This window comes from Homo sapiens, chromosome 2 (assembly GCF_000001405.40).
Source record: "Homo sapiens chromosome 2, GRCh38.p14 Primary Assembly".
Taxonomy (NCBI): Eukaryota; Metazoa; Chordata; class Mammalia; order Primates; family Hominidae; genus Homo; species Homo sapiens.
Genome location: NC_000002.12, coordinates 88,193,461 through 88,208,247, shown reverse-complemented (window position 1 = coordinate 88,208,247; position 14,787 = coordinate 88,193,461). Strand labels below are relative to the sequence as shown.

Genomic DNA, 14,787 nt, shown 5'->3' with positions numbered 1-14,787 from the left:
TTATTTCATTCGTAAGTATTTCTGTGTGTATCTTTAAAAGATTAAGATTTCTTTCTCTTTTCAAAACATAATCACAATACTATTATCATACCCCCCAAATTAAATACAACTCTTTAATATAATCAAATATCTCTTTGGGGTTTATGTTTCCAATTGTTTGGTAAACGTCAGAATTTTTCCTTTTTTTTTTTTTTAAATCATGATCCAAGTAAGGACCACACATTTCAATCTGTTGATAAATTTTTAGATAGTCTTTTAATCTATAATCTCTCTATCTCATCTTACAATTTATTTGTTGAAGAAATTCAGGCATTTGTCCTATGGAGTTACTCATAGTTTGGATTTTCCCGATTGGATCCCTCTGGTGTGACTTAAGTGTTCTTCTCTTCTCTCCCTCCTCTGTATTCCCTGTAAACTAGTATTTGGTTCTAGAAGCGTGATCAGATTTGGGTCACATACATATTTATGGAAAGCAGGAAATAGCCTTGGTGTGATGATACCCATGCTGTTGGTCCCATGCATGACTTCCATCCCTGCCACCCCGGTTACCGTTCATGAGCCATTGTGCAAACACTGAGCTAGCTGAGGACAGAAGTAGGCTGAGATCCATTGGCTGAGTGATCCTAATTGCTCAGTTGTTTAGTCCCCTCTTTTGCAGTGAAAGCTCGTTGCTGAGCATTAAGGGGTCAATATAAAGATCCTCACACGTGGTTGAGCACAGTGGCTCATGCCTGTAATCCCAGCACTTTGGGAGGCCAAGCCAGGCAGATCACGTGAGGTTAGGAGTTCAAGACCAGGGGCCAACATGGAAAAACCCCGTCTCTACTAAAAGTACAAAATTAGCCAGGCATGGTAGCACGTGCCTGTAATCCCAGCTACTCAGGAGGCTGAGGCAGGAAAATCGCTTACACTTGGGAGGTGGAGGTTGCAGTGAGCTAAGATCGCACCACTACACTCCAGCCTGGGAGACAGAGCAAGACTCCATCTCAAAAAAAAAAAAAAAAAAATCCTCACACTTTGGGCCACTCCCATAGATCCATCCACAAACCTTTTCTCCAAAGTTCTTTGTCCCTGATCTTCCAATGTTGCTTCTTTCAGGTTCCTAACAAGCCAGCCAAGCAATTCACCACAGTCCAGAAGTCTATGTTTACTCTTTCTTTAGGCAACTGCTCTGTCCACAAAAAGAAAATGACCAGATGTAGGAGATATAGGAAAAAACAAAGTATCTTTTTCTTTTCCTATACAGTTAACACAGAACACTTCACCTGTGTGTATGGAATGGAGAGAAGTCACGAATATGTATATGGGGATTTTTCCTCACATACCAACCAAGCAGTTCTCCAGCAGATACCAACTGGGTATCTTATAATTAAATTCAATTCTAACACTATCTACCAGGAGTTAGATCCCACAGGTTGAGGGCTCAGCCTCACAAGACTGCCCCAACTTCAGATGCCAATTGCAAGCTCTAGGTTGTGACCTGTGCTTCTAACTATAAATCAATGTTCCCACCACCCCCTTGTTAGATTCAATTAATTTACTAGAAAGGCTCAGGGAAACACATTTACTGGTTTATTTTAAGAGATATTACAAAGGATATGGATGAACAGCCATATGGAGGAGATACATAGGGCAAGGTACAGGACAGAAGGGGCACAGAGCTTCTATGCCCTACCTGGGTGCACCACCCTCCAGGCATGTGTTCAGCTACCTTGAAGCTCTGCAAACCTGTTTGTTTGGAGTTTTATAGAGGCTTCATTATGTAAGCATGATAGATTACATCATTGGCTACTGGTGATCAACTTAACCTTCAGCCCCTCTCCCGTCTCCAGAGTTTGAGGGGTGGGCTGAAAGTCTTCTGGTGACCAGCCTCAATCCTGAAGCTATCTAGGAGCCAACGGTCACCTCATTAGCATACAAAAGCATTCTTATTCTGGAGATTCCAAGGGTTTTAGGAGTTGTGTGCCAGAAACCAGGGCCAGAGACCAAATGTGTGTATCTTATTACATCATATCACACCAGGTGTCCATTGGGAGATCTCCTGACTGCTGTCTTTTAGGGCCATGCTGAGAGAGGCTGTAGTGCATCCACAGTCCACTTTGGGCCTGCAGCTACCACTAAGCTGACTTATGCATCAACCAAGATTGAACTTTTTCCTCCTCTGTCAGCTGGTCATAGGGAGCATCCTCCCTCCTGCCCAAGACCATAGGTGTGAACTGAGGAAGATGCATTGAACAATGGGGTAAGGGATATGGATGTCAGGACCATCTATCTGTGTGGCTTACTTGCCCCCTACCCCAACCTGCATAGACCCAGTCTCCAGTGTACCACTTTCATTTACGATAGATTTCTGCTGCCCAGCCCATTCTCCTCCCTCCTGCCACCTTATGACTTAGCTCTAACAATACCCAGCTCATGGCCTCATGGCTACTTAACTTCCTGTGGTCAGAGGCTCAATTTCTACAAAGGCCCAGGAACATGTCAGGAGCTGTTCTTGAACTGATGGTGTATAATTCTCTGTTGCAAATGCCTTGACCTCCCTCTAGAATCCTAAGTATTGTGCTGCCACTTTCTCATGGGAGTTTGCTGGACAATCCAGATGGCATCTTTCCATCTTTCTCTGCCACAGATATATTTGATATCATGCAATCTTCTAGACTATATGAGCCAAGCAGCAAGGCTGCTTGTCCTATAGTCTGAACCTGCTATAGGGCCTGTTTTCACTCTGGACCCCACTCGAAGCTAGTGATGTCTGTATCAACTGATAAATGAGTCACAGCAGTATTCCTAAGTATGAAATATGCAGCTTCCAAAACCCCAAGATATCTACTAAGTGCTATTTTTCTTTCTTAGTGGTAGGAATTTTAAGGTACAATAGGTTGTCCTTTACTTTGGAGGGAATATCCTAACCATGTTCCAGAGCACTAGACCCTTAAAAACTTCATCAGCATAGCAGGTCCCTGAATCTTTCATGGCCTTTCTGCTATACTCTAGAGCACATGTCTTTTACCAAGGCAGCCAGAGTATTTGCTATTTTTTTGCATCTCAGGTGAAATTAGCATGATTTCACCAATTTATCATGTCCCATGGGATGTTAATAGATGTTTCACACACACACACAAAAAAACCCTCAAAGCTATATTACCTATACTTTTGCTCTAAAAAAATTTTAAATCTCTGCCTTAGAAAAATACTGGTCATTTATATAGGTGCCGTTGATATTATTATGTGATAATATGCTTTTTAAAAATGGTGTGCCTTATTGAAAAAATATGGAACCAGCCAAAAAGCCCATCAATCAATGAGTGGATAAAGAAACTACGGTATGTGTGTGTATATATATATATACCATGAAATGCTAGCCATCCATAAAAAGAAATGAAATAGGCATTCACAGCAACCTGGATGGAATTGGAGACCATTATTCCAAGTGAAGTAACTCAGGAATGGAAAACCAAATATCATATGTTCTCACTCGTAAGTGGGAGCTAAGCTATGATGATGCAAAGGCATAAGAATAACACAATGGGCCTGGTGTGATGGCTCACGCCTATAATCTCAGCACCTTGGGAGGCTGGAGCAGGCGGATCACCTGAGGTCAGGAGTTCGAGACCAGCCTGACCAACATGGTGAAACCCCATCTCTACTAAAAATACAAAAAAATTAGCTGGGTATTGTGGCAGGTGCCTGTAATCCCAGCTACTTGGGAGGCTGAGGTAGGAGAATTGCTTGAACCCAGGAGGTGGAAATTACAATGAGCCAAGACTGTGCTATTGCACTCCAGCCTGGGCAACAAGCATGAAATTTCGTCAAAAAAATAATAATAAAGAAAGAAAAAAAGAAGAATATAATGGACTTTGGGGCCTCAGGGGAAAGGGTAGTGAGAGGGAGTTGAAGACTAAATGTTGAGTACAGTGTACACTGCTCAGGTGATGGGTGCACTAAAATCTCAGAAATCACCACTAAAGAACTTATTCATGTAACCAAACACCACCTGTTCCCCAAAAATCTATTGAAGTTAAAAAAAAACAGTGTGCCTTATTGAAGAATCCCAGGCAGCATTACCTGATCATAAACATGTGACATCCAATGTAGCTCCATCTATGTGTGGCATACAATAATTGATCCTTGTGTTACGTGATTCTTCAATGATCATTATCAACCCATGCTGTATGTTCAGACCCATAAGATCCAAATATATTTGTGAGGCAATTAAGTATTTCTTGTATTGAAAACATTTCTACTACCTCATAATTTTCATGGATCTAGAAGAATTTTATTTTTAATTGACACATAACAATTGTATATATTTATGGGATTCAATGTGATGTTTTGATATAGCTCCCTGTATTAGTGTGTTTTCACACTGCTGATAAAGACATACCTGAGACTGGGCAATGTACAAAAGAAAGAGGTTTAATTGGACTAAGGTTTAATGTGGCTAAGGAAGCCTTACAATTATGGCAGAAGGCAAGAAGGAGCAAGTCACATCTTACATGGATGGTGGCAGGCAAAGAGAGAGCTTGTACAGGCAAACTCCCATTTTTTAAAACCATCAGATCTCGTGAGACTCATTCACTATCATGAGAATAGTGCAGTGCAGGAAAGACCTCCCCTCATAATTCAATCACCTCCCACTGGGTCTCTCCCATGACACGTGGGAATTGTGGGAGTTACAATTCAAGATGAGATTTGGGTGGGAGCACAGAGCCAAACCATATCACTCCCACATATGAGTGAGAACATGTGATATTTGTTTTTCTGTGCCTGGCTTATTTCACTTAACAAACAAAATTTTTTCTAGGTTTATCCATGTTGCTACCAATGACAAAATTTCCATCTTGTTTAAGGCTGACTAGTATTCCATTGTGTATACATACCACATTTTCTTTACCCATTCATTCGTTGATGGACACTTAGTTTGATTCTATAACTTCACCAGTATGAATAGTGCTGCAGTGAGCATGGGAATAAAAACATCTATCTGCAGCAAACTGATTTTCATTCCCTTGGATATATACCTGGAAGTGGAATTGCTGGGTCATATGGTAATTCTATAGGAAGTTCTTAAGTAAAAAGCAGAATCACGTGCTCCCAAACTGGTTCTGACAGACAATCACAAAGTCAGGCAGCCTCCAAATGAAGAGACACCCTTCAGTTTCTAAAAAGCTGGGAGGAGAGCTGTTCAAAACAAAATAATTAATTGCTAAAAATAATAACAATAAAGCACTGTACAAATATTGCAAAATAGGCAGTTGATCTTTTCTTCTTTGCTACATTGTGCAGTGAGAAAAATAAAATATAAAAATAGACTTGATATTAAACCTGATAACAAAGATCCAAAACAGCTACCTTGCTCTTTATATTAAATGGAAAGATGGTTTTTAAATAATGCAGAGATTTACTTCAATTTAAAAAATTTCTAGGGATCATACTTTACACCAAAAGATATATCTATATTTTTTAAATCTTGATCTATTTAGTTATTAACAAAATAAAAAGTTTAATTTCTGGAATTTCACAATTCTATTCTAAAGTAAAAATATAAATCTCCCTTCAATAACTTCTTGCTCCAAAGAATCTGTGAGACCATGTTCTGCTGTCTAGTGAGATCCAATAACATTACTACATTTTAATCATCTTCATGTCCCTTCAATACATTGTACTTGTAAAAAATATTTCAGAATGACAAGTTCTCTCTCTCTCTCCCCACTCCCCCCCAACTCCCTCCCTCCCTCCCTCCCTCCCTTCTTTCTTTCTTTCCTGGGGTTTAGCTCTGTTGCTGAGCCTGGGTGCTATGGTGCCATCACAGCTCACTGCAGCCTCAAACTCCTGGGCTCAAGGGATCCTCTTGCCTCAGTCTCCCAAAGCACTGAGATCACAGGCGGGAGCCAAAATGCCCAGCCCTTTCAGCCGTTTCTTAACTGTGAGTCCTGGGACAAGCTCCTCAACCTACATCTCCATTTTCTGGCTTTAAGGCAGAACTCCAGTTTCTTGGGGGAGGAGATGGCCATGCTAAAATAATGGTAACCATTAATATCCGCCAGGCATCTGTAGTGTCTGTGCGAGCTATTCCACCCACGAGGGCTTAGGGAGCGGCTGTGGGGCCAGCAGCTTCAGCTTCCTCAGGAAGGTCTCTCTGTGCTACCACCTTCATGTCTCCTAAAAGTACCTGTCCTGTTCCCTCAAACTACCAGATTGCCACATGGCTTTGAGAGGCTGCAGTACAGCCCAACTACCGTCCCCTTCCTGCAGATGCCTTTTGTCTTAGCGGATACATCTGAATTAGCCCAGCAACTACACAGTTTCTCAAGGAGCCTTTGGCGCGTATGCCTTAGTGAGCGCCAGCTTTCTCTCTCTCTCTCTCCTTTTTCCTCTCTCTCTCCTCCTTCCTCTCTCTCTCTCCTCTTTCCTCTCTCTCTCTCCTCTTTCCTCTCTCTCTCTCCTCTTTCCTCTCTCTCTCCTCTTTCCTCTCTCTCTCCTCTTTCCTCTCTCTCTCCTCTTTCCTCTCTCTCTCCTCTTTCCTCTCTCTCTCTCCTCTTTCCTCTCTCTCTCCTCTTTCCTCTCTCTCTCTCCTCTTTCCTCTCTCTCCTTCCTCTCTTTCTCTCTCTCTCCTCTTTCCTCTCTCTCTCTTTCTCTCTCTCCTCTTTCCTCTCTCTCTCCTCTTTCCTCTCTCTCTCTTTCCTCTCTCTCTCCTCCTTCCTCTCTCTCTCTCCTCTTTCCTCTCTCTCTCTCCTCTTTCCTCTCTCTCTCTCCTCTTTCCTCTCTCTCTCCTCTTTCCTCTCTCTCTCTCCTTTCCTCTCTCTCTCTCCTCTTTCCTCTCTCTTTCTCTCTCTCCTCTTTCCTCTCTCTCTCCTCTTTCCTCTCTCTCTCTCCTCTTTCCTCTCTCTCTTTCTCTCTCCTCTCTCTCTTCTCTGTCGCTTCTCTCTCCCTCCTTCTCTCTTCTCTCCCTCTCTCCTCTCTCTCCCCGCTTCCTCCTCCTCCTCTCTCTCTTTCTCTCTCTCTTTCTCTTTCTCTCTCTCTCACACACACACCTCCTTGGGGTTGAAGGGCACACTACCAGCTCTTGGGAGTTCTTTGTGGACAGCCAGCACTCTGGTCCCTACGTGGAAATGGCCTCCTTTAAGGAATGTCACCTGACCCAAGGCTCCCCTTCCTGGACTGCCCGCCCCCAGCGACTGGTTGAGACAGGGGATGGAAACCCACTCCTGCCTCTTTTCCTTCCCTTCCCTGTGGGATGCCACCCAGGGTTCTCTTTCTCTGTTGCCCTCTGGCCCCACCCCCAGGGACTGCCCTGCTCCAAACCCCTTCCAGGAGGCATCTCCTCCGGGAAGTTTCTTGGGCCAAAACCTCCTTTTCCCACTTTAATCTGTGAAAGTTCCTGTTTTGTTTTGATTCATTTTTTCCCTTGGAGAAGGAAAGAGGGAGAACCTCAGAAGAGAAGAGGGAAAGGAAAAGTAGAGTAATAAAACTGTGCTTTTGTAAAGCTTAGTCCAGTTGGCAACAGGATTTTATCCACATTATCTTAGGAAAGAGGAAAAGGGACTCTTCCCTCCAGGCAGGAAAACTACAGGTGATCTTTGTTTTCTTTCTTTCTGTTGCTTTTTGCTTTTCTATATGTTCAGCATTTTTTTTTTTTTGCAATGATCAAATAATCAGAAGGAAAAAACAATAAAGCTATTCTTAAGGAGAAGAAGGGAGCGAGGCCACAGGGCTGGAGGGCTGGACTTCTGTCCCTCTTCATTCGGCACCGGCACCTCCTCCCCGCCCCCGCGCAGCGGCTCAGTTGAGGGCGGCTTGGGCAGAGGAAGTGCGGCTGCGAAGCTCAGAGGCGGCTCAAAGCTAGGATTTCTGGTCGAGCAGATCCCCCCATTCTTTGCTTCCAGCCTCAAATCCCACGCTTACTCACTTCACAGCACCTACTTTTAACCTGCCAAATGCCACTAAATCTGCAAATTAAACCTCTGATTACAGAATTCCTTTTGATGTAAAAAAAAAAGTGGGGATTTTTAAAATGTAATTATTCATACACTAAGATTTTAATTGTGCTGCTTTTCTCCCTCTCTCGCCTTTTTTTTTTTTTTTTTTCCAGGGCAAGGTGATTCCCCTGTGCTGGGCCTGCCCAGGCAGCGCCAGGGGCCGGGTGCAGGAAGGAGCCTGCAGGAGTTTTCTGATGGGGATCAGGAGATCAGGATGCTCCATTCCAGGGAGGCGGGAAGGGGTCTGGGCAGCAGCTGGTGGTCCCAGGTCTCTGCCCCATAGCCTCCCCATCTTAGCCACATATGACAACTAGATGCAAGGCTGCAGTGTCATTTCGAATGTGGGGAGCTTTGAGCCAAGTCCCCCAAGTCCTGGCCTCTGCTGCAGGTTTAACACCCAAAGTGCTGGGACCTAGGCACGTTCTCTGGATGGACAGTCTGGAGCCAGCCGGTTAATGCAAGGAGCAGCGGGGACAGGGCCTGGGCTGCCCACTTTTCTCCAGCTTGCTTCTCCCTCCCCTCTCCAATGGGCAACCAAACAGATCTTTTTGCTTTTTAAAATTGTGGTAAAATACACATAACATAAAATTTACCATTTTAACCCTTCTTAAGTGTACAGTTCTGTGGCATTAGGTACATTTACACTGTCATGAAACCATCACCGCCATCCATCTCCAAAACGTTTTCATCATCCCAAACTGAAACTCCATACCCATGAAACTTCCCATTCTCCCCTCCCCACAGTCCCTTCTAACCACCTATTCCCTTTTCTGCCTCTATGAATTTGACTACTCTAGGTCCCTCATAAAAATAGAATCCATCATACAATATTTGTCCTTTTGTGTCTGACTTCTTTCACCCAGTGTAATACCCTCGAGATTCATCCACGTGTCACAATGTCATTCCTTTTTAAGGCTGAATAATATTCCACTGTATGTATATACTGCATTTGGTTTGTCCATTCATCTGTTGAAGGACATTTGGGTTGCTTTCATCTTTTGGCGACTGTGGGTAATACCGCTGTGAACATGGGAGTTCAAATATCTCTTCGAATCCCTGCTTTCAGTTCTTTGGGTATATACCCAGAAGTGGAATTACTGGATCATATAGTATAGACTGATCTTTTAAACATGCAGATTAAACCATTCTGTTCCACTGTTTGGAATAAAATCCAAACCCTTCTTGGAGCCTACAAGGGTCTGCCTGATAAGGTTCCTGTGGACTCAGGGACCTCCTCTCAACCCATCGTCCTTGGGGGCATGGCCACAACCACATTTACCTTCTTTGGGATTCTCAAACACCCCAGCTCTCCCCAGCCCTAAGCCCCTGCTCTGACCTGTAACTTCCTCCTGGAGTGGTGTGAGCCACTGCTCCAGAAGGAAAATATTTTTATAAAGACAAAAAGATACTTTAAGGAGTTATTAGTTTTCTGGGGCTGCCATAACTATTATAAACTGGGTGGCTTAAACAACAAACATGCATTGTCTCACAGTTCTGCAGGCCAGAATCTAAAATCAAAGTGTCAGCAGGCTTGGCTTCCCTTGAGGGCTCTGGGGGAGAATCTGTCCCAAGCCTGTCTCCAGCTTCTGGTAGCCCAAGCATTCCTGGGCTTGCAGCTGGCATTCTTCCTATGTCTTCACATCATCTTCCTTCTATGTTTGTTTGTCTTCAGGTCTAAATGCCCCTTTTCATTAGGGCACCGGTCATATGGGATTAGGACCCACCCTAATGACCTCATCTTAAACTTGATCATCTGCAAAGACCCTATTTCCAAATAAGGTCACAGTTACAGATCCTGGGGGTTAGGACTGCATCATCTTTTATGGGGTCACAGTCCAACTCATAACAAGGAATGGCATGGAAATGTGCATGGATAGTTTAGATGTGGCGAGAACTTTTATTTGTTTAGCCCCTGTAAACAGCTGCACCACCAGGGCAGGTGGATTGTATTGTCTTGTTCTCTCTTCTACTGAACTTTGGAGGAAAACACTGAAAAAGCCGTGGCTCTTTTATAGATCAGGCACCTGAGCCCAGGGAGGGGACGTCCTGCCTCTGGTCATGAGGCTGTCTTAAGCGGAGTGAGTGCAGGAACACAGAGTGCTGACTTCCCGCCAGGGCTCTTTCCAGATCGGACCTTTTCAGGTGGAAGGGGAGTCTCCAAGATATGGAGATGGAAAATTGTGTGCAAAGACTTTTGTGGGGTGTACCCTCAGGAGATATACCCGTGAGGAAGTGAGGAAGGCAGGACAGGTAGAAAGAAGATGACTCACAAAGCAGCTGCAACAGAGGACTCAGACAGTCCTGTAGGGGCCCAGGAGCTGTCCTTTGTATCCCAGCCTGGACCCCTGGGAAGAGGTGTAGCCTTAGGTGAGGCAGCTCCCTGCCACCCAGGGCAGTGTCCACCAAGGGATGCAGCTGTAAGCTGTGAGCATCTGGTATTCCCAGCAGCTGGAGGATAGATAGGTGTGTAGACCCCAAAGAGGGAACCTGGGCAGAGCATCACAGCATCTATTACACAGCTGAGTAAATGTTTGTGGACAGATGGGAAGGTCAGCAAAGTGAGAGCTCTTGGATGTGGGCCACAGTGAGCAGCACCAGCCCAGCCAAAATGACAATGATGATGTTGGAGGTGAACAGCAGGCAGAGGGAAGCCACGACCTAGCAGTGTGGTCTTTGGCATGCAACATACTTTTCAGAGCCTCTGGTTTCTCATCTGAAGGCAGCGTTTGGGGCACTTCACATGGGGTCGTGTGTCCTGCACCTACCCGGCACACAGGAGCTACACCACAGAATTTAGTCCTTTCCCTTCTCTTGTCAAGGCAAGCTGATCTCTTGACTACATTCCAGCATGCTTTGCCTCTTGGCTGGTGTATTAGTCAACTAGGATTTGACCGCCATTACAAAGTATCACAGCTGGGAGACTTAAACAACAGGGCTTTATCATCTCACTGTTCTGGACACTGGAATTTCAAGATCAAGGTGTTGGTGTCAGCAGGGATGGTTCCTTCTGAGGGTCATGAAGGAAGGATCTGGTCCAGGCTTCTCTCCTTGACTTTCAGGTGGCCATCGTCTCCCTGTGTCTTCACCTGGCCTTTCCTCTACACGTGTCTGTGCCCAAACCTCCTCTTTATAAGGACATGAGTCATGTTGGATTAGTGTACATCCTAATGACCTCATTTTATTACAATCATCTCTTTATAGACCCTATCTTCAAACACAGTCACATTCTGAAGTACTAGGGGTTAGAACTTGAACATATGAATTTTGGAGAGGGAAGAGACACACTTCAGCCTATAACAGCTGAAGGCCTCCCTTAGCCAAAACCTACCACCCTTTAGTAACATATTTGACTCACTCCCTCTAGGAATTTTTCACTAGGTGCCCAGCACTGTACCAATGAGTGCTCAGAACCATCACAGGAAATTGCCTAATGTCCCACTCCTTATGCGTGCGTGTGTGTATTTGTGTATGTATGTGTGTGTGCACGTGTCTCTGTGTGTCTGTGTCTTTGTGCATGTGTCTGTGTGTGCATGTCTGTGCATGTGTGCATGTCTGTGTGTCTCTGTGTGAGTGTATGTGTATGTGTACATGTCTGTGTGTGTGTGTGTGTGCAACTCTGTGCATGTCTGTTGATGTGTGCGTGTGTCTGTCTCTGTGTGCATATCATGTGTGTGTGTGTGTGAATGTGTGTGTGTGTGAATGTGTGAGTGTGTGTGTGTGTGTGTGTGTACAGCTCTTCTGTCCAGGGCCTACCTTCTTTAGGATGCTTCCTTGTGCTTACCTAGGTGCCAAATACTGGATGTTCAACTGTCTGTTGACACCAAACCTGAGATGGAGAACAGCACTTTTTGTTCTGAGGAATCCCATCCTCTCCCTCTGAAGGACCAGCACAAGCAAAAGATGCTGCCCAACGAGGGGTTGTTAGAGTCCAAGGGCACGGGGACTGAGAAAGAAAGCAGAGGACATGGGGCTGTGAATAGCCCAGCCCCACTGATTCACAGACAGGGCCCTGCAGTGCAGAGAGGTGATGAGGTATTGGAGGGCATCCAACCAGAGAGCAGCAGGGGCAGGAGCGGGGAGGAGGCCTCCTGACTCCCAGGCTACTCCTCTATCCACCGAAAGCATCACCTCCGTCCCCAGGACAGGTCTCTGCTTGGAACCATCTACCTAAACCTATGCCAAAACATAGCACGCTTTCTTTTATCTAGAATAGAAATGAGGTTTCAGTTAGATAGGAGGAACAAGTTCAAGAGATCTATCATACCACAAGATGACTATAGTTCATATTATATGCTTGAAAATTTCTGAGTAGAGAAAATGAGGTATGATGGTTCATTGAGAGTAATCACTTAAATCGTAGAAAAATTATCAATTTTCAAAAAATTGTAGAGACTAGAAGGGAAGATTCCTAGCATTAAAATGGCACTGAGGAGACTGTCATGCTTTCTTTGAAGATGCTGATGTCACTGCTGGTGCTGACAGGGTCTCAACACCACCATTCCAGCCTCCTCAGCAGCCTATCCACTGTGAGATCCATGAGACTGCACCAACTCAAACGCGTTCCCTGGAAGTTGAGTTTTACAATAAATCTCCAATATGAACATGCTTACCTGTTTTATTCCTCTTTTTCATCAATCTGAGAGCAGAATAAGGTGCATTGCCAATTTGCTTATTTACCATATTTGCACCATTTTACCTTTTTTTAGCCATTACTTATCACTTTGCAGTATCCCATCCTCCACACTGCCTACAAAGTAATCTCTCTATATCATAAATCACACCATTTCGGCTTCTTCTTTTCTTCTTCTCTCTTCTTCTTTTCTTCTCCTTCTCCTTCTCCTCCTCCTCCCTCTTCTTCCTCTTTTTTTTTTGAGACAGAGTTTCGCTCTTATGGCCCAGGCTGAAGTGCAATGGCGTGATCTTGGCTCACTGCAACCTCCACCTCCCAGATTCAAGTGATTCTCCTTCCTCAGTCTCCCAAGTAGCTGGGATTACAGGCACCCACCACCAAGCCCAGCTAATTTTGTATTTTTAGTAGAGACAGGGTTTCGCCATGTTGGCCAGGCTCATCTCGAACTCCTGACCTCAGGTGATCCCCCCGCCTCGGCCTCCCAAAGTGCTGGGATTACAGGTGTGGGCCACTGCACCTGGCCTCGGCCCCTTCCTCTAATCATTCAATCCCCTAGACCATCCACCCCAAGCCATCACCTATTGGGATAAAGCACAAGCTCATTAGAATGGCAGCCATGTCACACCACAGATGCCATTCTCAGGATGACCCTTGCCTCCCTCTTCACATGCACTCCATCACTTAGGATGCCTTAGCTGCAAGGTACAGAAAACTCAACTAAAACGGGCTCAAATATAACTAGCCTTGTCATCTCCCTGACAAAAAGTGCAGAGGTGAGAAGCTGCGGGGCTGCTCAGCTCAGAGGTTCTCAGCATCACCAAGGCCCTTGCCCCCTCATCTCTGCTCTGCTATCCTTATAGGCGACAAGGTGGCTGCAGGGGCTACAAGTTGCACTGGCTTTCACCCCAGTGGCAAGAGGCACCTATGGTCCTGAATGAGTTTTCCCTATCTCAGGGCCAGAACCAGGTAACAGGCCATTTCTGAAGCTATCATAGAGGATGAGGTACCATGATTGGTTTACACCAGTCCGGCACTTCCCAGAAGCTCAGGGCTCATCCTGACGCTCACCTTTCCTTTGAAGGATTTCCTGTCCCGTGCCTGGCAAGTCTACTAGATATCTTCTCATCCTGTCATTCAACAAACCTCTACTGAGCATCTAGGAAGCGCCAGGCATGGACAACATAGCAGTGAACAAAAACAGTCATTTAGTTACCCTCATTTTGTCCATATTTCCATGATAATACTTGACATGTTTATAATGTTTTGTAGCATATGTGATATTAGGCACCTCTCTGAGCCTCAGTTTCCTCATGTATAAAAGGGGGATAATAATGTACACCTCTTTGTTGCAAGATTTAGAGATAATACACCTAAAGAACCCAGGTGTGCTCAATTTATAGTTGATGCACAGGAATTGGTAACTCTTGGCCAGGCACCGTGGCTCATGCCCATAATCCCAGCACTTTGGGAGGCCAAAGTGGGTGGATGGCTTGAGCTTGGGAGTTCGAGACCAGTCTGGGCAACATAACAAAACCCCATCTCTACAAAAAATAACGAACATTAGCCGGGCATGGTGGCACATGCCTGCAGTCCTAGCTACTAACAAGGCTGAGGTGGGAGGATCACTTGAGCTCAGGAGGTTAAGGCTGCAGTCAGCTGAGATTGTACCACTGCACTCTAGCCCTTGTGACAGGGCGAGACCCTGTCTCAAAGAAAAAAAAAAAAAAGGTAACTCTTTACAGATGTGTTTCCCCAAGACAAAGGGTGTTTCTGTTGCGTCATGAATTCCTTTGACAGTCTGGAATATTTTCAGATGCATAAAATAAAATACATGGGAGAAGAAAGGAAACCAATTATATTGAAAGACAGTTATGAAAATATTTTAAAATATTTGAACACAGAAACATATACTCTTTCTTGATACTTAAATAACACAATATGGTGTCAGGTCTAATAATGTATCAAAGTAGTGATGATGAGTGTTAATGATATTTCAAGATTCCCACAACTGCTGTAATGTCATGTGAAAAGGTCTGTGACTTCTATTGTTGACAAAGACACAGGTGTTGCTAGGATTAACTGGTTTGCTGTCGACATGTATATTTGAAGGAAGTGTTAACCTTTCGTTACAGGCTAAGGAAAATAAAATGCAGGCTTTTTTCCCCCTTCAAGTTTTCA

The 14,787-nt window shown here is 44.6% G+C and overlaps 1 annotated feature.

Moving 5' to 3' along the window:
* Window positions 5,904-6,494: an enhancer, noted in NCBI's record as "H3K4me1 hESC enhancer chr2:88501273-88501863 (GRCh37/hg19 assembly coordinates)". NCBI's record gives its function as "activates a minimal SCP1, AML or CMV promoter by ChIP-STARR-seq in primed H9 embryonic stem cells {active_cell/tissue: H9 hESC(primed)}" and the evidence as "EXISTENCE:reporter gene assay evidence [ECO:0000049][PMID:30033119]".